Consider the following 25,475-nt stretch of genomic DNA (forward strand, 5'->3'; position numbering starts at 1 on the left):
GTCGTGATCCTCAGAAAACTAAATTCATTAAAAATACATTTAAAAATAAAGAAACACAACCTAAACACAGTCCAACTTACTAAGAAATCCCACTTGTGACCAGGAGAAACTGAGGGAAAACTGGAGCAGTGACACCAGTAAGGTGAGGAACGGGGAAAGGACAAGATGCCTAAAACCCCACAAGACCCTCCGGACTGCTGGATGTGCTTCTACAGGATAAACCAGCTGCACTCCATCTCCCAACATCCCCCTCTCCCTCCCCATTCAATTATCCTACAAACAGAATCCTTGTATATTCTAAATACCAGAAACACATGAAAAGGCACAAGCAAATTTTTATTTAGCAATTAAAAGAATTGAAAATAAAGAAGAACGCTACAACAGGACACTAGCACAAAACACTCAATTTACCTGTAAGCCATGTTCCCCAGCGTCGTATTTATTGTCCCCATCGAGCTGTTCTACTGCCACATAATCCACAAATGATTCAAATACTTTAAAGAGAGAGAGAGAAAAGTCAAGTGCTAAAGCTTCATTTATAATGTAGCCAACACAGGTGTAAGTTATTTAAATCAGCATATTTAGGATTAGCAGAGAAGGTAAACAACACTAACAGTAACTCTCCCCCTGTAGCCAAGACTGTAGGTAAATGTGCTGTTAGCACCTTTGCTCATTGGCCAAAGGTCATTGGTATCTTTCTTAAGGACATTAAAATGACAATATGGAGGTAACAGTTAAGGTTTTACTGTTATTCGAACAAAGCACATACTGTAAAGCTATGATTATGAAGACAGCTTGGAATTGGGCAGTGTGGACAACCCCTTGGTCTCAAAAGCAGAGATGCACAAATGTGAATGGCTGGCTGATGTGGCAGAATGACAAGGAAAACCTCGATTTCCTCAGAGGTCAACACGGGGTGGGGTGGAAGTTGGTCCTGACATCTCCCCACCCCCACCTGTTCCAGGTGGATTGTAGATAAATGGAAAAGGCAAAATAGTAAAACGTAACAATTTTTTAGGACATAAAAAGCAAACAAGGACACACTATTTCCCTAAAATTAAGAATGGTAACATTAAGAGTGAAAGGGCGAGCCACATGCTGAGTGACAAGCTCTCAATCCAACACGGAATTGTATATCCAGAGTGTATGGAGAGCTCGTCCTGCTCCGGTCATGAAGGAAAAACGCAACTGCACAACACTGAAAACAGCGCTGTCACGCTCCGGACACATGCGGTACAGGACAGGGATCCCTGAAGGGACAAATGAGAGCCCCGTGATGGGCCCAGCTCTGCTGAAAGTTTACAGGCTGCAGCCCGGAGAAGGCAAACCCAGACAGAGCCAAGAAGTGAGAATGAGAGGAGCTCAAGGGAGCGGGAACCTGCTGGGCAGAGTAGCCTAAAGCAGAATGCTGCCCAGAAAGCGAGATCTGGGGATGTGCAGTTTCTTCCGAAGCTGTCAGTGAGAACTGATCAGTGAACTCGAGGAAATTACCTGGGGCAAGGAAAAGAACCAGCAAGAGGATGAGGATTGGGGGGAACAACCTTCAGAGCTCACGACAGGCTGGGAAGTCTGTGTTCCCACCAGCCACCGTGGAAAAACCGCTGAACACCTGGGAGACTCAGCTAACAACTGAAAGGATGTGGGGACAGGTTATCCCTCAAGTAAAACCTGTTCTCCCACCTAGCAAGGCTTAAAAACAAGCCTCACAGGAAGCAAATGACTTACAAGTCACTTATCTGTGCATAAGAGCAAAGGTTAGGAATATCTAACACCCAGCAAGATAAAAACCACCATGCCTGCTGTTCAATAAAAAAGTTACCAAGCATGTGAACCAGTGCAGTGGCTCAGTGGCTCACGCCTGTAATCCCAGCACTTTGGGAGGCAGAGGTACGTGGATCGCCTGAGGTCAGGAGTTCCAGACCACCCTGGCCAACATGGTGAAACCCCGTCTCTACTAAAAATGCAAAAATTAGCTGGGTGTGGTGGTGGGCACCTGTAATCCCAGCTACTCAGGAGGCTGAAAGGAGAATTGCTTGAACCCAGGAGACAAAGGTTGTAGTGAGCTGAGACTGCATGACTGCACTCCAGCCGGGGCGACAGAGTGAGACTCCATGTCAAAAAAAAAAAAAGAAAGAAAAAAGAAAATAAACATTACCAAGCATGCAAAGAAGCTGAAACCACCACCCATGATGAAGACAACAATCCTTCAATAGAAACAGATGCAGAAATCTCACAGATGACAGAATTAGTAGACAAGAGCATTATCAACTATACTTAAGTCCAAAGGAGAAGAAAGCAAAAGCATACTAAGAAGAGACACAGGGCTGGGCATGGTCCCAGCACTTCGGGAGGCCAAGGCGGGCAGACTGATTGGGCACAGGACCTCCGAGACTAGCCTGGCCTAACACAGCAAGACCTTGTCTCCAAATAATTATAATTAATTGATAAATACATAGAAAAAAAAGAAGAGATAAAGATTTTCATTTAAAAAAAATCCAAGTCAAACTTCTAAAAATAAAAAAAAATTTAAAAAGTTTGAAAATGAAACACCATGGATGGGATTCACAGAGAACTAGACACTGCAGGCAATTAGTGAAGATCAAGACAGAGCAACAGAAACCGCAGCACAAAACCCAGAGAAAGGAGACTAGGACATCTGGAGGCTGGGGGTAACCTCAGGCAGCCAGAATCAAACAACTGAAAACCAGTGAGAAGGAAAAAACCTTAAAAGCACATGGGGGGCTGGGCACGGTGGCTCACACCTGTAATCCCAAAATCTTGGGAGGCCAAGATGGGCAGATCACCTGAGGTCAGGAACTCGAGACCAGCCTGCCCAACATGGTGAAACCTCGTCTCTACTGAAAATACAAAAATTAGCTGGGCATGGTGGCGCATGCCTCTAATCCCAGCTACTTGTGAGCCTAAGGCAGGAGAATCACTTGAGCCCAGGAGGTGGAGGTTGCAGTGAGCCGAGATCGCACCACTGCACTCCAGCCTGGGCAACAGAGCGAGACTCCCTCTCAAAAAGAGGAGAGAAGAGGGAAGACAGGAGAGAAGAGAAGTGAAGTGAAGCGAAGCGAAGAATATGGGGGCTTGGGGCAGAGAAACAGATGAACAGAAAGAGTAAGGACACTACAGCCCACTTCTCAGAAATGAGGCGAGCAAGAAGACGGTAGAACGTCTAACAGACCGAAGGAAGGAACCTGCCAACCTAGAAGTCTACACCGAGTTAAAATGTCTTTCACAACTGCAGATGAAATAAAATCTTTCTAGGCATGCAAGGTGAAAAAACTCATCTCAGCCGACCCGCACTAAATGATTCCTAACGAGAATCCATATCCAAATTAAAAACGGAGGAGCATTGCAAGCTGTAAATATGTGGGTCAACATAAAGCACTTCCCCTCCTCACTCTTTTTATTTTATTTTACTTTCTTGAGAGAGATACTTGCTCTGTTGCCCAGGCTGCAGTGCAGTGGCACAATCATGGCTCGCTGCAGACTTAAACTCCAGGGCTCAAGCTATCCTCCCACCTCAGCCTCAAGTAGCTGGGACTACAGGTGCATGCCACCACGCCCAGCTAATTTGTAGAGATGGAGTCTCACTATGTTGCCCAGGCTGGCCTCAAACTCCTGGGTTCAAGCAATCCTCCCGACTCAGCCTCCCAAAGTGCTGAAATTACAGGCATGAGCGACCACACCCATCCTCCCCCTTATTTTAAATATTTCTTTAAAGGAATGACTATAAATCAGTTAAGGAAAAAGAAAAGAAGCCAATACTAAAATTGTTAAAGTATTTAAACAAGCATTTTATAAAGGAAGACATCCAAATTGCCAATAAGCATTTGAAAAGGTAAGAACAACCTCACTGATCTTCAAGGAAATACAAACTAAAATGCAGATAGCACTATACTCCCACCAAAATCTTTCAAAGTCTGGCAACTGACAGCTCCAGTGTGGGTGTGGAGCAACTGCAACTCTGCCACCTTCCTGATGACTGTGCAATTGATAAACCACTTTGGGAATCTCGCTAACTTGATCCATCAAGCTGGACATACGCACACCCTACAGGCCAGTAATCCTCTTCCTCCAAATGCAAACAGGCATTAAGAATGGTCGATCTGCCTTATGCCTAACCACCTCAAATGGAGACCAACCCAAATATCAAGCAAAAGAAGAAAGATTTCAAAATTTTTGTGGTATATTCTCAAAATGGAATACTATAAAGCAACAAAAATGATCAAACTATGACTACTCCCAGCGTGGATGTATCTCATGAATGTGCTGGGCAAAAGGAATCAGACACAGGCTGGACATGGCAGCTCATGTCTAATTCCAGTGCTTTGGGAGCCCAAGGCAGGAAGGTTGCTTAAACCCAGGAGTTCAAGACCAGCCTGAGCAACAAAGTAAGACCCCATCTCTTAACCAAAAAAAAAAAATTAGCTGGGTGTGGTGGCACACGCCTGTGTTCCCAGCCACTGGGGAAGCTGAAGCAGGAGGATCGCCTGAGTCCTGGAGTTCGAGGCTGCACTGAGCTATGGTTGCACCCCAGCCTGTACAGCACAACAAGACCCTATCTCAAAAAACAACAGCGAAATAAACAAACAAATACATCCTACTACAAGGTTCTATTTAAACAGACACCTAAAACATGCAAAGTTAACCCAGGGTGTTAGAAGTCCACGTGGTGGTTTCCTGTGAGGAGAGGGGAGGTGGTGGCTGGGAAGGGCTGTGGGAGTGCTGGCCAACACCAGAGCTGGGTGGAGGTAACAAGCCTGTGTTCACCCAGTGAGCTGTTTGCTTAAGATCTGAGCCATTCTCTGTGTTTAGACTATTTAAAAAAACATCACTTGTGTAAATGAAACATTAAAACACAGTAGAAATCATCAAAAGATCATGCCATTAGATACACACAACACTTACTATTTTTCTTTCCTTTGATACTTAGCTGGATATCATAATAATCTTCTCTTCTATCAGACCGATAGTCTACTTCTTTACACTGGATATAGGACTGCAAATAAGGAAAGTAAAAGTGGTTTAACTAGTAATAGTCAAAAAATTCACATTCTAAAACCTTTAAAAATCATCTTTTAGAACTGGTAGCCACATACCACCATTTTGCCGCGGAATAATTTGGGTATGGTGCCCTCTACACAGGTGCCTTTCATCTTATTTTCCACATTATCGAGCAACTGAAAAAGAATGTTTTGGCTTTAAAAAAACTTTTTTGTACTTAGTAATATATACAGTAATTTTATAATTGACTAGAAATATCAATGTTCAAAGAAGTTGTAGACTATAAAAATATGACCTCTGGCATGCAATTCTCAAAAACATACAAAATCTTCTTTCTTGGTTGGATTTTTACAAACATCTCTACATGCAACAGTTGAGGTTAACCTTTTATACAGCCTTTGGAATAAATTAGTAATCTGTAGTGCCTTTAGAAGCATTTTTATATTTTTTACCTCTGTGGAAAAGCATGTAAAATTGTTCACTAAACTTAACTCGTAATGGTCCACACCAAGAGATTAATGAGGTTGAGCCTGTCAACAGGATTGACTGGTTTGTCCATGGATATTTAATGAACTGGATTCAATCCAGCTAGTGCTGCAAAAAAGAAAACACACCTTGCCCAGCCAATCACCTTGAACAGCCATTTCATGTTGTGTGTGTGTGCTTCTGCGTCTTTTATCACAACTGGAAGAATGAGGATTTGCTAGTGATTAGTGATGGCGCGGGGAGAGTAATCACCGCATGCTGAGGTCTGCTCAATGAGAACCTCGCTGCACAGGAGGGGTCTGGACACTGGAGTAACAACAGAAGTCACCACTGTACAGTGACTCAGGACCAACGGGACAGCCAACAAAGCCAGTCTTTGGTTTCTGGATTAATAACTCCTGTATATATACCAATTTAACAAATTAAAAGCCTACTGCCTGCTAGTATTAAAATTCAAGCTTCCTCACTTCACCTTCAAATCCCTATTCAAGTAATTCTTACCAGCCTTTATAACTAGACATCTGCTGCCTTTTTGTAGCCTAAGTCTGATCCTAAACAAAGATGGGCATTTTCTGAATTAGGTCTGAGGTTTTACTTGGTAATAACTTCTGACCATGCTTCAAAATATTCATTGTAAGAAATATACAAGTATTGCTTGAAACTTACCACTCGACAAAGCTCCTGAACATCATGTTGCATGAAGCTATCTAAAGTTTCCCACCTTTCAAAGATAAAACAAACAACTCCATTTAAAGCTCAACTTTCAAATGAGCAAATTAAAAGTAACTTAGATTGAAAACCTAAACTGGATAATCAGCTATTATTCTCAAATTCCTTTTCTGTGAAGATTATTTTTGGGAGTCATAATTCAAAGATAGATTTACTGCTGGGGAAGTGGTGTTTCCAAGAAAATGTAATAAATCTGAAAGCAGTACAGGTTCTTGTGTTGAAAAGTAAAAACCTTAAGCGGTGAATTCTTTCTCAAGCAAAATTCTACAACAAAGTGTCTATTTCCAAAGAGATAAAACAAAATACAATGATAAAAGCACTGACACGATTAAATGCTCAAGCCTCCCTAAATTAAGTGCCTACAGTATGCTCTACTAACTTTTCTATTCTCTACTCACTTGTCCTAAAAAAAAAAAAAAAAAGAGGAAGCAGAATGGCAAAGGCAGATGTCTAATACATACCCAAATGACTTTGTTAACTTTTTTGTTCCTACAGGTTTATCACTATGCTGTAATTCATAGAACACTCTTTGTAATGCTAAAGGGACGCTTTTAGACGAATCATCCCCCTCGGTTGGCATCATGTACACAGCCTGAAACAATTAAGAAATAAGAATTTTTACTCTGAGAAGATGCAGGGGAATTTAAAAAACAGTAAGAATTTAATCTTCATGTTTAAAAAAATCATTTCTAATAACACAATGGCTAAGGTTGTTGTTAGGGCTTTTAACGATCCCCAAATTGGTGAGAAAGTTTACAAAATCATGAACGTCTTTAGGGATACTGGAAAACATAAGAATGCAAAAATAAATTTTGAAAATCACCACCCACGTGACACGAAGTCTCACTCTGTTGGCCAGGCTGAAGTGCAGTGGCGCGACCTCAGCTCACTACAACCTCCGCCTCCTGGGTTCAGGCAATTCTCCTGCCTCAGCCTCCCGAGTAGCTGGAATTACAGGCACGCACCACCACGCCAGGCTAATTTATGAATTTTCAGGAGAGACAGGGTTTTGCCATTTTGGCCAGACTGGACTGAAACTCCTGACCTCAGGGGATCTGCCCACCTTGGCCTCCCAAAGTGCTGGGATTATAGGCGAGAGCTACCGCACCCAGCCTCACCCATATGTTCTTGATAAAAAGATAATACAGAAAAAGTAAACAAAAAACAAAATCAGCCCCCAGAGAACTACTTTTATTTCCTACTTATTGGAGCACCATTTCTTTTTTTGTTTTGTTTTGTTTTTGAGACGGAGTCTTGCTCTGTCACCCAGGCTGGAATGCAGTGGCGTGATCTTGGCTCACTGCAATCTCCGCCTCCCAGGTCCACGCCATTCTCCTGCCTCAGCCTCCCCAGTAGCTGGGACTACAGGTGCACGCCGCCATGCCCAGATAATTTTTTTGTATTTTTACTAGAGACGGGGTTTCACCATGTTAGCCAGGATGGTCTCGATCTGCTGACCTCATGATCCGCCCGCCTCGGCCTCCCAAAGTGCTGGAATTACAGGCATGAGCCACTGCGCCCAGCCATGGAGCACCATTTCTTAACTTACCATTACTTGTGAAACAAAGATTTGATTAAAAACTTAAATGTGACTAGAATTACCCATGCTGAGCTGTCCCTGGGATATATCACGACAACCTGTCTGGGTGGCTGTGCAAACATGCCTTGAAGGATGACAAGCCAGCCAGCTCCCTGCCCACCCCACAACCAGGAGTGCCGATTTCCTGTACTGCTTCATAATAATCACAAGTAATTCTCAAAATAGAACTAACTCATCTATATTAGATTTAATGTATGTCTATTCTTTTTGTTAAAATTTTCAATAAAAGTAAGTTGCATTGACTTTTCAACTCAGTTTTTATATAAAACTTTGCAAATGTTGCTGTTAATGGATTATATGTTTTTCTAAATACCTTCACAAGGTGATTTCTAACACAATTTTAAGTCTGCAAAATTAGGTCATGGCTGGGCATGGTGGATCATGCCTATAATCTGAGCCCCTTGGGAAGCTGAGGCAGGTGGATAGCTTGGGGTCAGGAGTTCGAGACCAGCCTGGACAACATGGTGAAACCCCGCCTCTACTAAAATATAAAAATTAGCTGGCCGTGGTGGCGGGTGCCTGTAATCCCAGCTACTCAGGAGGCTGAGGCCAGAGAATCACTTGAACCCAGGAGACAGAGGCTGCAGTGAGCCAAGGTCACACCATTGCACTCCAGCCTGGGCGACAGAGCAAGACTCCATCTCAATAAAGAAAAAGGTTGGCGGTGGTAACTCTGAATCACTGAGGCAGGTTACAAAGTAGGTGTCCCAGCACTGGGGAATGAAAACGCAGCATGAACTAGCAGCCATCTGAGGAGACAGGGCCAGGGGAGGGAGACGCCATGTTTGTTGAGAGGACTTTGCTCTGATATACCTGAGAAGAAAGGGTGAGCGGAAGGCTGCAGGAGAGGAACACTATCCATTTACCTTTCGTAGCTGATTCGTGAAAAATAACGTCTGTAGCAGGCTGTTCATGTAACAAGTCGCTCCCTGATTCTTTAAGCCGACGTAGCCTGTGTGCTTCTTTGAATCCCACCTGAAAGATCAGTTCAAGGTTGAGGGGATCTTGCAGATACCCCATTGCTCCTGCAGTGTGTGTGAAGCAATCTGACTCAAGGTCAGCCTTAAGGAAACCGAGGCCAGGAACACTTATCACACAGCATCCTTCAATGGTCACCGATTCCCTTCTGCTTGCTCCAGTGTGTGAACTGGTGCAAATGCAACCCCCACATTCGCACAGCCCTCGAAGCACCTGCCTGCTGACAGTGGCACTCCTGTCACTGATCAAGCCCAGCACCAACAGACACTTAACGGAGACCTGCATGCTCACACCCAACATGCCTCATGGTAGAGTTTGGTTACATAATTACACTTATCACACGCAAGGTCAGCACAACGTGGAAAAAGCTGAAACTCATCTTTTCTGTAGACACACACACAAGAAGAAACAGAAGTGTGTATTCACCAAGTTTCACCTCAGACTTCTAAACTCCCAGAGCTTTTTTTATTTTGTGATTTTGGTGGTTGTTTGGGAGCAAGATAAGATTCTCAGAATTAACTGTGTCTCGTACCTTCCCACCCCCACCCCAAGTAGTAAAAGGAAGCCACAGAGAACGGTGCCAGAAAGCAAAGCAATCCTCCCACCTCCACGCCCATCTCCCTCTGTACACAATGCCACGACCTGAACACACGACCGTCACCAAGCGGGACCAGTGCTGGGGGAGACACCTACTGCGCAGTACCATTCACCAGCACCTTGCCACTCCAGGGGTTAGCTCCCAGCCTTGGAAACACTCAAATACACCTAACGGCCTTGTCACCCCTCTTTACTCCTCGCTCACCATGTTAGTTGTCGGTGATGCTCACCTCTTCCCCCAGTCCCCCCTTCCTCACACTCGGAGAGGACTTCCTCCCTGCCCTCATCAAAGTAACAACGGAGCATCTCTGCTCTGGGTATTTATGTACCGGTCTTAGCTCCTCTATGAAAGCTGAGTGTACATTCTTTAGGAACAGAAAACCACAGCTGTCTAGTTGCCATAATTATACAATTATGTTCCAAGGGTCTAACATATAGAAACTGCTCAATCAATCTGTTAAACGAGTGTCAAGCAGGTGTGACTCTGTGTGCCACAGGGCAAGCGCAGAGAGGAGGCTTACTGATTAAATATGTGCATCTCTATTACATGCACGCTAAAGCTTCTTTCACTGCAGCACAAAAGACATTTTTAACAGCACCTGATTAAAGAAAAACTTACGCAACTCCATGGGGAGCATCCGCCTGTACAAAGACTTCAAAGGTAACTTTGTCATCATCTATAAATCCTTTCTCAGGATCGGTCACTTCCTATAAAACATAAATAAGAATATCCAGCTTGAATAAGAACACACATTTTATTCCCAAGAGACAAATTACATTAGTGCCCTGTACTTAATAGAGATGAAAATACTTTTTTTTTAAATACATCCCAACTTTTTTGCTAATTTTAGACTGTTTCAATTTTCTTTTAACAGTGGTCTCACAACAAATACAGCAAATGCTTGGCACCTCAGAGGTATCCCAGAGGTACCCAGGGGCTCAGTGCCACAGCATGGACAGGAGAAATCTGTGCCCCTCTAAGCAGGGGAGGGGCTGGAGAATGCAATGATAAGTGACTTAGCATAGTAAGAAGTAACATTCCTAAGATTGTTCCACTGGTTACCACCTCTGCAAAAAGCAGCCAAAGTGAACTGAATGATTACTGGAGTCACATGGAACCACTCAGTACTATGCCTGAATCATGAAAGGACCTCAAACAGCATTATGTCTTTTAAAGGAAATTTAGCCCACTGGGAACTCCCTTTGAATGTCTGACTAAAAAGTGAGACGTGAATCCAGAAAGCTGCTAAAAACGTAAGATACGAAACTGGAGAAAACATGTTTTCAAAGACACTTGTCCAATTTAGAAAGTAAAAATCTGACTCTAAAATCAATAAAGGACTTGAAAAATCAAAAAGTTAAGGGAACAACAAGCAGTAATGCACCAATTGTTCAGACTAAATACACTGTTACTTACACTCCAGGCCATAAAATTGGAAAATCCCCAATCATTTTCTTTATGGAAGAACAAATGACTAATACGACGACTGAACGACTTTTCATCATCTCTGTAATTTATTATCTTCAGCACTGCTTGTGCATGGCAAGACCATGACCTGTTTAAAAGAATAATCTGAGCCTTAGTTGACATTATTTACCAGATGTTATACATTTTTAAAGACAGTAAACATAGCACACCAAAATTCCCATTTATGATTTCATTGCTCTCTCCTTTCGGGTTGGGGTTAAAGGTAGGATGGAGGCATTTTTACCTTTAATAGAGAAATGGGTGTTTGGGGCTCCCCCAGTGTATTCTGTAGTGATTTCACTCATGGTTTCATTTTTTAATTCCTTAGAAGTTGAAACAAATTTTCTTTCATTGTATCTATACAATTTTGACCTCTGCTTCTACTGCCGATATAGGGGTCACCTCTCAGCGTTGCTCCTGCCCCTACAGCCCTTCAGTGCCATGCCTCTCGAGCTCTCCTAGGATGCCCTCCAGCACATGCTGGGGGAAAACCAGCACCGGGGAGCTCTGTGGCCTTAGAGCTTGCTGTCCTGCCCCGGCATCGACGAATTCACGATGAGGCACAAAATTACAACCACAAGAGAACTACTGTACCTGCAGTGAAGTGTGGGGTGGACCACAAAAGGGCCTCTAGATCCAGGTTCAAAAACCATACATACAGCACTTAAGCCAAAGAAAGTTAAGGTTTGCGATTTAAGTGGGGCCTTATCAATCAAAGCTGCAACTGAGCCCTGAAATGGTTTGACTCTTCAGGACAAGGGTAGGACAGTGCTGTTCCCACAGCACTTCCTGCTTGCTCGGGACGCTGACACTGGGTATGGACCATTCACTACTTTTCCAAAGTGCTTCAGGCTAAAGTTGTCCATCGGACTAAAACAAACCTAGCCCAAATACTCATCAGATCACATCATAATGTGAACAGAAGAGGACAACTTTAACCATCCACAGGCCCTGGCTGCATCATAAAATTACCTTAAACATTAAAGAAAATGAAAGTACGGCCAGGTGCGCTGGCTCACGCCTGTAATCCCAGCACTTTGGCAGGCCGAGACAGGCAGATCACCTGAGGTCAGGAGTTCGAGACCAGCCTGGCCAACATGGTGAAACCCCGTCCCTATGAAAAATACAAAATTAGCTGGGTGTGGTGGCACACGCCTATAGTCCCAGCTACTTGAGACGCCGAGGCAGGAGAATCGCTTGAACCCGGGAGGTGGAGGTTGTGGTGAGCCAAGATCAGGCCACTGCACTCCAGCCTGGCGACAGAGTGAGACTCTGTAAATTTTATTCCCTGGGGGATCTGACAGAACAGCCAGAGTCAGTTCACTCTGGGGAACATGTTACTGAGGGTTCCAAAGGGCCACTCTGTGGCGTGGCAGGGAGACTAGGACAGGTGCAGTCCAAGTCAGCAGCTTCCCCTGGTTCCAACTGCAGACAGGTTGACAAAGTGGTCCGTACTCCCAGAATCAACTGGGTTTTTGATAAAGGGTGAATTAATTTTCTAATTCATCTAAATAGAAGGACCATCAAGATTTCTCAGTTTTTGGACATTTCATAATATACATGAATGTTTAAATGTTCCTCAAGTCAGAGGGCCATGTTGTATAAATCCTTCACAAAGTATGTTTTACTTGTACTTTCTGAACAACCCGTACAAATTAGCTATCACACAATGGAAAGGATGTCTGGCTCTGACAGCTGCCATTTTCTGCTCAGACAGTTACTGACAGAGTAAGAATTAAGCCTGGTGGCTCAATGGTCAGCTAATCCAGGCCGGCCCTGATTCCATGGGCTGGTAGATTCTAACAAACTATTTTTAGTTTTTTCACTTACAAGATAAAAATATACTTTTCTAGCTTGGATATTATACATATACCAGTGGGTTTTAAAGAGAAACACGTATTTAATCTAATTTAAAATCAAAAGGCTATGTAGAGGCAGCAAATAACTTAAGATAAAATTGCACTAGGCTGATCAAATTTGGCTTCCAGTAATGAAATACTGTCTTACGTGGAATCAGATTCAGCATTGCACTGGAGAAAGAATCCTACGCTTTTTTGGTGTGGTCTGTCTGGATAAAAGCGTGGCATCACCATAATCTTCCATGGCAGATTTCGCACAAAACACGGAGGGCTAAGGACCGACTCACTCAGTCTGCTGAAGCGCTCCACAGTGAACTGAAAGGTTGCCTCGGAGCGCCAACTGGTGTCTGCAAAAAAAACACATCATCAGTCACAGAGCCTGTGCATTGACCAAAAGCACTAGCATTAATCGACATGGAGTAAACTGTTCTATACATCCTGATTTAACTGCTAAAACCTAACAGTTTGAAAAAATTGCTTCCAATTTATTAAAACCCGAAGACTGAGATAACATACAGTTTCTGAATGGATTAATTCTTCCTTATGAAGTCCAAAACTCAGAGTGCTAACCATACACTTGCCATCCCTGTCAGACTGAGTTCCACATGAGAACAATGTCTACTTTACTAAAGCTGAATTCCCAAGGACCCCAGGCACCAAGTGAGTGGAGAGACCTTGGAGAGAAGGAACGACATGGCTCATATCTGTTCAAGGACGGGACTTCTGGGGGTAAAGACCACGACATGGGACTTGGGCTGACTTTACAGAGCACGGAACACACAGGCAGGACTTGAGAGCCAGGGAAACAGCCATTCCCCTGGAAGCTCAGCACTGCTCAGAGGCAAGACAAGGGCTACAACAGTAGCCTGATAATAAATGCTAACCTCATTGGTTCACGATTTTTGCAAAAATACTAGCCTGGACACCCTAGGGGGAATAATTTTTTTTTTAAGAACTGGTATTTTTTCCCACATGAGTAGTATAAATTGTTAAATGATAACAAGACCAAAGGCTGATTTAAGATATTTAAGTTTCTGACAACACAGTGCCTCTTAGCAGAGGTCCAACTGAAGGTCTCCATTTAAAATTCAATCTTTCACTGATGACAGTGACTATTCATTTGCATGTGGCCATCGGTCAATCACCTTTGACAAACCCTGCAGCATCTTACTGCTTCCCAAACGACTCCTGCGAAGGCACAGTCCTCCCACACCCACACCAATCTGTTATTGACCAATACTTTTATAAAGCATCATGAAATTGCCACAGCAAAGTCAACATGCTACACAAGCTTCTAAACGCTTCCTTTCACTTTCTGTACCTATCTCATTATAGTCTGCACACAGCTCACTGACTGGCAGGAGTCCCAGGGCCACACCAAGGGCCAAGCTCTACAGGCAGTGCCTGGAAGGCTGTTCCCGGCTTAGAATCAGGTGCTATTTTGACATCCCTGACCACCAGGCTCCTAAGGCACAAAATGAGACTTGTAGGCTTGGGTAAAGAGTGCCTAAGAACATCCTCCCATCCTTCATCTTCAGGCCCCTGAAGGCAGTCACCATGTCATCCAACAACCCTTCAGACTCCAAAGTTCACTAACAACTGAGTTCTCAGCATCAGCCACTTCTCAGGGAAGAGAATTTGCTTGAAGTTTCTGACTGAGTTTGGTCTTAAGAAAACATGTCCATCAGTCCTCCTGGGAGGGTAGTATTGAAATATCAAAAGCATGTGTGACGGTAAGCACTTCTACCTTCTTTGAGACACTCTTCATCCCAAATTATTTTATTTCACATAACCCTGCTGAGTTGCTTACAGCACAGGAACTTTGGAAGGAAGAGCAGCTGAAAGAGGCGCATCTTGTCCAAAATAATTATTTATTTGAGCCTCTTCAAGTGGTATTCCCCTAATCCTTTTGAGGATAGAAGTCTACTAAAAGGCAAGAAACTTGTTTAAGATAATAACGTCTAGAATGGCGTGGTGGAATAAGTTTTGCCATGTGCTTTTAGGATCATGCAATTCACAGCTGATCAGGAGTTAAGTTCTGCAAGGTAGACAAGAGACAGATGTCAATTCCCACATTTTAGGTGAGGAAATGGAGGTTCGCCGAGGCTGTTTTACAAAGTGACAATAGAGGATTTTAATATCCAAGATTTGTCAAGACACTATGCACAGTGACCTGACTCTGGTTTTTAAAATTCCACTCCTGGAAGTTACCATAACACACACAAAACACAGGCCTCAACAAAATGAGACTACTAGCTTGCCCGCTTTATGAAGCCCATGTATACAGAACTGCACAGAAGCAACCAAATGGAAAATCACTGCAGGACCTAAAAAGCTGAAAGAAACAAGGTTATGCCTCTTTTCCAACCCATCTATTTTATATAATTCAGCTCTTTACAGGGTTTGATTTTATGTATACAAAATCAATACATATTGTAAGTGCTTTTGGAACTTTCACCCTATACATTAAATTTTCCAAGGTACTCCTTAAACATTAAAAAGACCCAAACAATGGTGAGACTCAGAATTGAAGTTTGCACTTGGTTCACCTGCTGCCCAGCCCCGCAGAGGCCACCGCGCATCCGTCTCTGTGCCCCCGAGTGTGGCACTGCCCTGACACACAGTGGTTAGTTCACAATTAGTGCACTGCACACTCGATTTCAGCCTCACACTCAAGGCACATTTCTTAGAACAGACTTATCAAATCTGCAAGCACAAAGTTTAGATGACACTTCGGGTGTATTAAAATTTCACCTCACTTCCTGAAAACTCTTCATACTAGCAGAATAATTGAAAACTTTTACTAGGCCAGGTGCGGTGGCTCACTCCTGTAATCACAGCACTTTGGGAGGCAGAGGCGGGTGGATCACGAGGTCAGGAGATCGAGACCATCCTGGCTAACACGGTCAAACTCCATCTCTACCAAAACTACAAAAAATTAGCCGGGTGCAGAGGCTGGCGCCTGTAGTCCCAGCTACTAGGGAGGCTGAGGCAGGAGAATGGCGTGAACCCGGGAGGCGAAGCTTGCAGTGAGCTGAGATCGCGCCACTGCACTCTAGCCTGGGCGACAGAGCGAGACTCCGTCTCAAAAAAAAAAAAAAAGAAAATTTCACTAAAAAACAAAAGGTCGGCCGGGCGCGGTGGTTCGCGCCTGTAATCCCAGCACTTTGGGAGGCAGAGGCGGGCGGATAACCTGAGGTCAGGAGTTTGAGACCAGCCTGCCCAACATGGTGAAACCCCGTCTCTACTAAAAATAAAAAAAATTAGCTGGGTGTGGTGGTGCACGCCTGTAATCCCAGCTACTTGGGAGGTCGAGGCAGGAGAATCGCTTGAACCTGGGAGGTGGAGGTTGCACTGAGCTGAGATCATGGCATTGCACTCCAGCCTGGGCAACAAGAGCAAAAAACTCTGGTCTCCAAAAAAATTCAAGATAGGAGGGCCAAAAAAAAGGAGAAGTGGACTTGGAAATTAGCTTTCACAGATACGGCCAGCCAGATTGTCCTCCTACGAGGAATTACATGAGACTCAGTGATGGAGATCTTTGCCCAAGAAAATAGTTAACAGTACACTGGATCCTATGTATTATTTTTTTGCAACTTCCAAGTATGCTAGGTATTAGCAAGGACACCCACATTCACTGCAAAATTAGCACTTCATGCACAAAGACTCCAATCTGCCTGGATGCCACTAACATTAGCAGACCACCATTTCATTACCGCATGCTTCTTTTTACTGTAAATGACAAAGCAACAAACTTCTACAAACTGGTGTCACCACAAATCCTCAACCAGATTCCTTGATAACTCTCACTACCTTCCAATCTGGCCCCTGGAGACTCTTGTACCAGGGGCAGGGACAATTACCTACAGCACGAAGTTCCCACTGTGCACTTTGTTACAGCAATTTTATCCTCCCAGGGCAAAGGCCAATAGACCAGCCTGGGCTTCAGTTGCAAAAAGAAAGGTAGGCCGGGCGCAGTGGCTCACGCCTGTAATCCCAGCACTCTGGGAGGCCGGGGTGGGCGAGGCGAATCATGAGGTCAGGAGTGCGAGACCAGCAGCCTGGCCAACATAGTGAAACCCCGGCTCTACTAAAAATACAAAAAATTAGCCAGGCGTGGTGGCAAGCGCCTGTAGTCCCAGCTGCCTGGGAGGCTGAGGCAGGAGAATCGCTTGAACCCGGGAGGCAGAGGGTGAGGTGAACCGAGATTGCGCCACTGCACTCCAGCCTGGCCAAAAAGAAAAAAAGAAAAAGAAAAAAAAAAAGAAAGAAAGTTAAAGAAAAACAGAATACTTCAGATTTTTGAATCAGAAAGGTTGGTATGAAATTTCTCCAAATGGTGCTGTTGCAGTGATTTTAGCAAACTTCTGCTCTTCATTCTAATACAACTTCTTGCAAGTCCTAGTCAATCCCCACAAATTAGTTTCATGGAGAACAACATTCTAAATCTAGATCCATCTAGATCTTCAGAGGCCGTATTTGCTCTAAAACTTCCTTGGTGGCTCACACTTGTAGTCCCAGTACTTTGGGAAGCCAAGGCAGGTGGATCACCTGAGGTCAGGTGTTCAAGACCAGCCTGGCCAACATGGTGAAACCTCGTCTCTACTAAAAATACAAAAATTAGCCAGGCGTGGTGGCATTTGCCTGTAATCCCAGCTACTCGGGAGGCTGAGGCAGAAGAATCGCAAAAACCCAGGAGGTGGAGGTTGCAGTGAGCTGAGATCTTGCCACTGTACTCTAGCCTGGGCGACACAACAAGAACCTATCTCAAAATAAAATAAAATAAAACTTCCTTGGGCCAAGTGCAATGGGTCATGCCTATAATCCCAACACATTGGGAGGCCAAGGCAGAAGAACTGCTTGAGCCAAGAAGTTCAAGACCAGCCTGGGTAACATAGTGACATCCCATCACTACAAACAATTAGCCACACATGGCGGTACTTCCTTGGTCATCTCATGAAAAATAGTGAATAAGGAACTAAAAGTAGAATGAGTAGATACAGTAAAAGATAATTCTGATACTTGCCCGAAATTCTATGTTAACAGGATTTTTAAATAAGTTCTCTCCCTCAACTATACATGTCTCCCATCTCTTTGTCTCATTAGCTATTTAGCATCTTACACAAGAAATGTCCCTTACTAAGAAGTCTTCTGTGCAAATCAGTCAAGTCGCTGATAGTTTGGCTACAGACCAAACTTCTAATGAGGTGCTTCCCAGATTGTGTGCCCTAGTCTGAAATGGACACTCAACACTCAAGGACACAGGACACTCAAAAAAAGGGGGAGCTCTGAAGTCCAGAGTCTTAGGGAATCATTAACAAAAACTTATTTTGGATAAGCAATTTATGCTGCTTCTGATATGACAACCCTGAGACATACGACAGTAAATAAAGCTTGTTTAGCCCAGCACATATCCAACTTCCTAGAATCCTGTGCATTTTTCACAACACACTTATCCCCTGAAGAAGAGGATTGCGCAATTTGTACTGCAGCTGGAAAACGCTGCCCTCAGCTACAAGTTCTTCTCCTACAGTCAGGACCACCTCCCTCCCACGCACTTTGCCATCAGAAAGATATTACATGCTGGGTCTTTCAACGGCAACCACAGTTCCAAACCAAGGAAAGGTGCTACGGAAGATTACTCAACCTTCTCGGATTATACGCTTTTTCCATCAAGGAGGTCACAAGAAGGGCATTTCCACTTTCGGGTCCTATGGCGTGGCACCACTGTCTACTAATTTAGTGAAATGTACCTCAAAAGGAAGGGGACTTTACCCATATTGTCCCCTCATAAGTCATTCTCCCCAGGAGACACCTGGCAATGTCTAGAGACATGTCATGACCGCAAGTGGAGGGCAGCAGCCATGGGCATCCTGGAATGCACAGGACAGCCTCCCACAACCAAGAATTATCCAAGTTGCCATGAGAAGCTAAGAAGCTCCGCCCTATATCTATGTCTCCTCCCAAGACCTCCCCCCTAAAAAAAAAAAGAAAAAAACAGTAGGGAAATGTTGGAACAGATTGCTCTGTGGGAACTAGACCCGGAATGTTCCGATAGGGCAGGGCCTGTCACTGCTACACAAGTGGCTAGAATTGATCCCAAACGCACACCTAGCGCCTCAGAGCTGGCCATGCCTTCCCAAATGCACTCACTCAACCGCTTTCGGCATCTCAGATGTCTAAAGTAAAACCTCCAAAAGCCCAACAACCAGCGAGACCACACCCACACCATTGCCCTCGTCTACGGTGGAAAGCGCACTCCACAGGTAACAAAGCAGCGGGTTTAGACCACGCCTCTTTACCTTCCTCAGATATTGCCTCAGCCAGCTGCCAGGGGTAAACCGCACTGTGAGAGAACTCTCAACTACGGCTGCAGTTTCTCATGGAGGCTGAACTTTTGGCAGGAGGTCTGAACAGCAGTCCTTCTGGTGGTGCAGCCCGTGACTGATGGTTTCTTTCAACTGCCCCGTTACTCCCCTGGGAAGGACACAACCCTCATGAGGATTGATGGACATGCTTTTTGACAGAACATGGTTTCATATTACACTCAAGACTCCAGGGGCTGCATACTGCAATTACTGGCTGCTCCCTACTCACAAGTGTGACTGTGCAAATATTGAGGTCACTAATTTGATAAATTTAAAGAAGGAATGGTCTCGGAAGAAAAAAACTGATTTCCTACACAAAAAATGTCCATGCACATACATATGAGTATGCTTTCTCACAGAGAAGCTATAGACCAAAACTCAGTGAGGGAGAATGAAGGCCAAAGCTTGAATCTGATTTCATCCCTAACAGGAGCGGGGAGGGATTCATAGCTATCATCAACTGATATACACCCTGCAATGAGAATGCAATGGAAAGCCAAGTTCCAATGTCTGCACGTATCTTGCTGCAAACAAACAAGAAGGAGAGTAAGACATGCTTGTTGTTCCCAATACTAGCAGTGGCTGGAGACCTGCAGGCAGGAGTAAATACCCACCTATTAAATTTAAACCTACATTACACCTCCTTGCCTAGGCTAGGGAGACTCTACTTACCTGGCAATGGTGTAGGCAATCTTGAAACTCAAAACCCAAACAGGATTTTCCTCAGTTACAGCCTCCTGAAAACTAGCTACGCTCAGAAGTACCCAAGGATGTACCCAAGAAGTACCAAGCATGGATCTGAACCTGTTTTCTGACAAGTTTCCGCCCACTGCGAGGCGGTGAACCACAGGCACTTACCATCCTCCATGTCCTCCTCCGCGGTGTTGTGTCCATCACTCAGGGCCACATTCCCATTGATCACAGGGTTCTGAGTAATTCTTGGTGGGTCATCTGTATCTCCCGCTTTAAAGAAGAAAAAGAAATTCCACGGGTTTTACATTCATGGCTTTAATAGAATAAGCAAAATATAAACTTATACTTTTGATGTTGCCTAATCATTAATAAATTCCAATTGTACCACAATAAAGATTCATTCTAATCCAAAAAATATTTATACTAATGTTTACTACATACAAACTTTCGCTGTTTCGAAACACTAAATGGAATTTGAAAACATGCTATACCACACTATAATTTGCTTTATTTGCAATGATATTCTGCACAAAACTTTTTATATAAAATCTCTTATGTAGGCCAGACATGGTGGCTCATGCCTGTAATCCTAGCATTTTGAGAGGCCAAGGCGGACAGATCACCTGAGGCCAGGAGTTCGAGACCAGGCTGGCCAACATGGTGAAACCCCGTCTCTACTAGAAATGCAAAAATTAGCTGGGTGTGGTGGCGCATGCCCGCAATCCCAACTATTTGGCAGGCTGAGGAATGAAAATCACTTGAACTCAGGAGGCGGAGGCTGCAGTGAGCCAAGATCATGCCACTGCACTCCAGCCTGGCCGTCAGGGTGAGACTCAGTCTCAAATTAAAAAAAAAAAAAAAATCCTTAGGTAGTTCTTACTTTACAATAGCTAATCAGCGTAAAGAACCTTTATCTAATCATGCAAAGTCATTATTTTACTATAGGTTTCCTAGTAATTAAAACAATTCTACAGCCAATTTTGTTGTGAAGATTACTGAACATATGCAAATGGTATACATTAAAACAAATATTTTAAACGTTTTCATCATGAACACATGCATCTTTTTTTTTTTTTTCTGAGACAGAGTCTCGCTCTGTCCCCCAGCCTGGAGTGCAGTGGCGCAATCTCAGCTCACTGCTACCTCTGCCTTTCCAGTTCAAACTATTCTCCTGCCTCAGCCTCCTGAGTAGCTGGGATTAGAAGCATGTGCCACCACGCCCAGCTAATTTTGTATTTTTAGTAGAGATGTGGTTTCACCATGTCGGTCAACTGGTCTCGAACTCCTGGCCTCAAGTGATCCACCTGCCTTGGCCTCCCAAAGTGCTGGGATCACCCACCCATGCCAGTGTCTTAAAACATCAAATCATCACCCTCAAGGTGTCAGTGGACAATTCCTGTATAATTATGTAAAGATCCGGGAAAGTGTTTAGGAAAGGATAAAATTGTTTTACCACTCTAAATGCATGCTAAATGCTTGGGCTGAAAAACACATATAACTCAAGTTCGGATTCAAAACATTTTAAGTTACCACTGGTAAATAAGGTGTAAATTACAACAACATTCCAATCACTTTTCATTAATTTTAAAGCATAAATTTCTCACACTCACACAGGTGGTTATTCTACAAGCAGAATAATCACAGCAGGACTTTTAGGTTTTACCTAGGTTCACACATCCCATTTAAATCAATTTGTTTTTCCCCATATTAGAATAGCTCACTGCAACTAATGCTGGCCCCACGGTTGCCTACACAGTCGGCTTTCCCTGGTGCACTGGACACCAACAGAAATTAAGAATCTCAACTGCATACAGGAGATGTGCTTTTTAACAGCCAGGTAGTTGTGTGTGTGGCCTTCACAATTTCAGAGCCTTTCTGCCATCCGAACCAGCAAGCAATCTGATTCAGCACCACGGACAGTGCCATGCTCACCTCCCCCTCCAAGAACTCTCCAAAACCCCAACGCTTAGATTACATCATAAACCTCTCCAATAATTCCTGAATAAAATGGTACTCCCCACCACCCAAGCATCTCAAAACATTCAAAATACCAAGAAACAGGTATTACCACTCAGACGTTTAAGACATTAAAGATCAATTTCAGTCTTGATAGTCTCTTAATACACTTAATTAATGATGCATTAAAAGTTATTTCTGGTCCGACCCGTGGCTCACTGCCTATAATCCTAGCACTCTGGGAGGCAAAGATGGGAGAACTGCTTGAGCCCAGGAGTTTGAGACCAGCCAGGGAAACATAGTGAGACCTCATCTCAATTTATTATTATTTTTAAAGCTTATTTCTGAAAACATATACACATACTTCTAAACTAGTCCCTAGACCATCATGTCTTGACAGAAATACTGTGGAAGGGGGTTAAGGAAAAGAACTCAGATGTACACTCAAGACACAGGATGGAGAGAAGGAAAAATGTCTTTTTGCTGGTTAACTAGCTCAAATGCTCCAAATCAAATATACATGCTAAATTTAAAAAAGAGAAAGAAAAGAAAAATCAGGTACTCTGAAATGTCTTTCATCCACATTCATTTTCCTTAGAACTACATCAAATCTTTAAAAAGTTTTATGAGATTCATAAATTGTAAACCAAGGACAGTGACTGGCCCTAGAAAGTGGAGGAGGCAAGAAGGGAATGGGGCTGGGGATGGACAAAGCAGGATAGTGCCTTATCTGCGACATTTAAAGATGAAAAATTTTTAAGAAGTAACATGTATATTTAAACTTAAGAATATATTTATGTACTAACTGAATAGGAAAAAAAAACCAATGAAGGCCTATTAAATAAATTATGGCACATTCCAATGGAATTTTTTTTTTTTATGGAGTTTCGCTCGTTGCCCAGGCTGGAGTTCAGTGGCGAGATCTCGGCTCACTGCAACCTCTGCCTCCGGGGTGCCAGCGATTCTCCTGCCTCCATTTCCCAAATGGCTGGGATTACAGGTGTGTACCACCACGCTTGGCTAATTTTGTATTTTTAGTAGAGACAGGGTTTCATCATGTTGGTCAGACTGGTCTCAAACTCCTGACCTCAAGTGATCCACCTGCCGTGGCCTCTCAAAGTGCTGGGATCACTCATGAGCCACCGCACCCAGCTCCCAATAGAATGTTAAAAAAATTTAGCCAAGCACAGTGGCTCATGCCTATATAATCCCAGCACTTGTGGGGGGCCAAGACGGGACGATCACATAAGTCAAGGAGTCCGAGACCAACATGGGCAATATAGTGAGATTCCCAACTCTATTAAAAACAAAAAAATTCAGGTACCAAGCGATATGTATCACATACTACCTTTATTAGAAAAGGAGAGTCCTGTGTTGAAATAGAAATATATAATTTCATATTCCCTTTACAAAATTCAAAAGATGTCTACAGAAACAGCAGGATACAGAAGAACCTACTAGAGATTAGGGTTACATAGAAGCAATGTAGTTTCTTCACTGTATATGCACACACTCACACTATGTGTATGCGCTATCATTTTTTTTTCCTCAAAGAGACAAGATTTTACAATGTTGCCCAGGTTGGTCTTGAACTGGACTCAAGCAATCCACCCCTCTCAGTCTCCCAAAATGCTGGGATTACAGGCATGTGCCACCCTGCCTGGCCTATACAAACTTTTTTTTTTTTTTTGAGATGGAGTCTTCCTCTATCTCCCAGGCTGGAGTGCAGTGGTGTGATCTCAGCTCACTGCAGCCTCCATCTCCTGGGTTCAAATAATCCTCCTGCCTCAGCCTCCCAAGTAGCTAGGATTACAGCCGTGTGCCACCACGCCCAGCTAATTTTTTTTATTTTTAGTAGAGACAGGGTTTCACCATGTTGGCCAGGCTGGTCTCAAACTCATGACCTCAAGTGATCTGCCAGTCTTGGCCTCCCAAAAGTGCTGAGATTACAGGCGTGAAACACCACGCCTGGCCTATAAATCTTAAAAGTAATTTGCTAGACGTACACCCAGTACTTTTAACTTCCTTGGTTCAAACTTACCCTACGACAATAGCTTTAAAACATGGTTTTAATGCATGGATGCAAAAATGAGGGCTCATTTTCTGTACATAAAACTTCATGTCTAAAATCAGGATCACATGTAAGTGTAAGCAGTCTAAAGTGTGGAAAATAATCGAACTCTACAACTGCTCTGTAATTCTGAGGTACAGGTTATGGTTTCATGAGATGCAGTGAAATCAGACTGAGACACAAGTGAATTCAGATTAGAGCTCAAAGAAGGGCTTGTTTGGGTGACTTGAGAGAGACTGCATTGTCTCCAAAAGTTACAGCAATAATAAAAACCAAGATCAATTCAAGAGCGCATAACATCTTACAGGATGGGGTGGGGGAAATGCGTAAGCTCTACCCCCCATTTTTCAGCAGTGGGATTAATTGCAGTGTGATGACTAAAGAAAGCCTATTATTTTCTGAAATGGTTCTAGTGTGAAGTTAGGGCTTCTCTGCAGTTGGCCTTGAAAACGCAAAGCAAGCAGAGGTCTGCGGTTGCAGCAGAATCTGAGCAAGACCCCAGCTTTTACATCCAAATTAACACATCTGAGTTGGTGTGGCCAATCTGCCCTTTTCCACCTGACAGGTGCAGAGAAAGTGGTCAAGGCCAGTGGCTGTGAAATGGCAAAGGGCCACTGGTTGGCCACCGAGTACATAAGGGGTGGGTCCCGGCCACCAACAGCCCTATGGGTGTCCAAGCAGCCACCAAGGTGATTCCAGCCCAGCTCCCAGGGGCAGGAGATCCCGTTTTTAAAAGCTCCTCATAAATGAGTTAGTTCCGCAAGAGGATTAAAATTTTAATTAAGACATGGTAAATCCCTAGTCCAGAAGTAAATGATGAAAGCACAGGATAGCCACACACACAAGAAATCTGTACTAGACTTCTAGAAATAGCCTAAACGATAAGGCTGCCTTCTTTTATTGTTCAAGACAGATGTACAACATTGGCATGCACATACATTTACTGCCATGTAAGAGTGATGTAATACCAAGTTTTATATGCCACCTTTTCGGAAGTTTTTAAGACATGGGGACTGATTTGGCCAAACACTTGAGCTAAGGCACTAATTTTTTTTTTTTTTTTTTTGAGACAGTCTCGTTCTGTCTCCCAGGCTGGAGTGCAATAGTGTGACCTCGGCTCACTGGAAACTCCTGGGTTAGAGCCTCCTGGGTTCAAGTGATTCTCCCACCTCAGCCTCCTGAGTAGCTGGGATTACAGGCACCTGCCATCATGCCCAGCTAATTTGTCTGTATTTTTGTAGAGATGGGGTTTCACCACGTTGGCCAGGCTGGTCTCGAACTCCTGACCTCAGGTGATCTGCGCACCTCGGCCTCCCAAAGTGCTGGGATTACAGGCGTGGGCCACCATGCCCAGGCTATGGCACTATTTTTGACACAAAATTATCTCAAATAAGACTGGGGACATGTTTGGCAAACACAAGTGACTATGTGCAATGTCAAACAGACAAGCCCTGGATGAAAAACGTCTATAGGAAATAAAGCAATTACCATCCCATAATACGCATATCCCACTCAGAAATAGAAGACAGTCTCCATTATTGGTGATTGCTAGGCCTTTTAACGCAATATGTATATGAAAAGGCAGAAAATATGTTTTTGAAACACCAAGTAGGCTCCCTGGCTAGTTCCAGGGCCTATATTCCCACCTGCTCTA

At 43.7% G+C, this 25,475-nt stretch overlaps 1 protein-coding gene across 6 annotated transcripts in view, besides 1 other annotated feature; it reads right to left on the reverse strand.

Annotated features, from left to right (window-relative positions):
• The window catches only part of USP7 (ubiquitin specific peptidase 7), a 71,810-nt gene that overhangs the window by 18,237 nt on the left and 28,098 nt on the right, over window positions 1-25,475 (reverse strand). For 5 of the 6 annotated variants that reach the window (NR_135826.2, NM_003470.3, NM_001321858.2 and 2 more), the window contains exons 2-11: window positions 19,960-20,064; window positions 12,882-13,080; window positions 10,824-10,962; window positions 10,026-10,114; window positions 8,698-8,806; window positions 6,693-6,823; window positions 6,169-6,223; window positions 5,112-5,192; window positions 4,921-5,011; window positions 412-494 (exon numbers count right to left, since the gene is read on the reverse strand). Coding sequence is in view for 5 of the 6 variants with exons in the window: in NM_003470.3 (NP_003461.2) it covers window positions 412-494; window positions 4,921-5,011; window positions 5,112-5,192; window positions 6,169-6,223; window positions 6,693-6,823; window positions 8,698-8,806; window positions 10,026-10,114; window positions 10,824-10,962; window positions 12,882-13,080; window positions 19,960-20,064 (1,082 nt within the window). In the remaining variant the exon portion in view is untranslated. Of the gene's footprint in view, window positions 1-411; window positions 495-4,920; window positions 5,012-5,111; window positions 5,193-6,168; window positions 6,224-6,692; window positions 6,824-8,697; window positions 8,807-10,025; window positions 10,115-10,823; window positions 10,963-12,881; window positions 13,081-19,035; window positions 19,211-19,959; window positions 20,065-25,475 lie in introns of all 6 variants that reach the window. The other variant, NM_001286458.2, reaches the window with a different exon arrangement.
• Window positions 18,470-18,529: an enhancer, noted in NCBI's record as "active region_10362". NCBI's record gives its function as "activates an Ori minimal core promoter by ATAC-STARR-seq in GM12878 lymphoblastoid cells {active_cell/tissue: GM12878}" and the evidence as "EXISTENCE:reporter gene assay evidence [ECO:0000049][PMID:35858748]".

This window comes from Homo sapiens, chromosome 16 (genome assembly GCF_000001405.40).
Source record: "Homo sapiens chromosome 16, GRCh38.p14 Primary Assembly".
Lineage (NCBI taxonomy): Eukaryota > Metazoa > Chordata > Mammalia > Primates > Hominidae > Homo > Homo sapiens.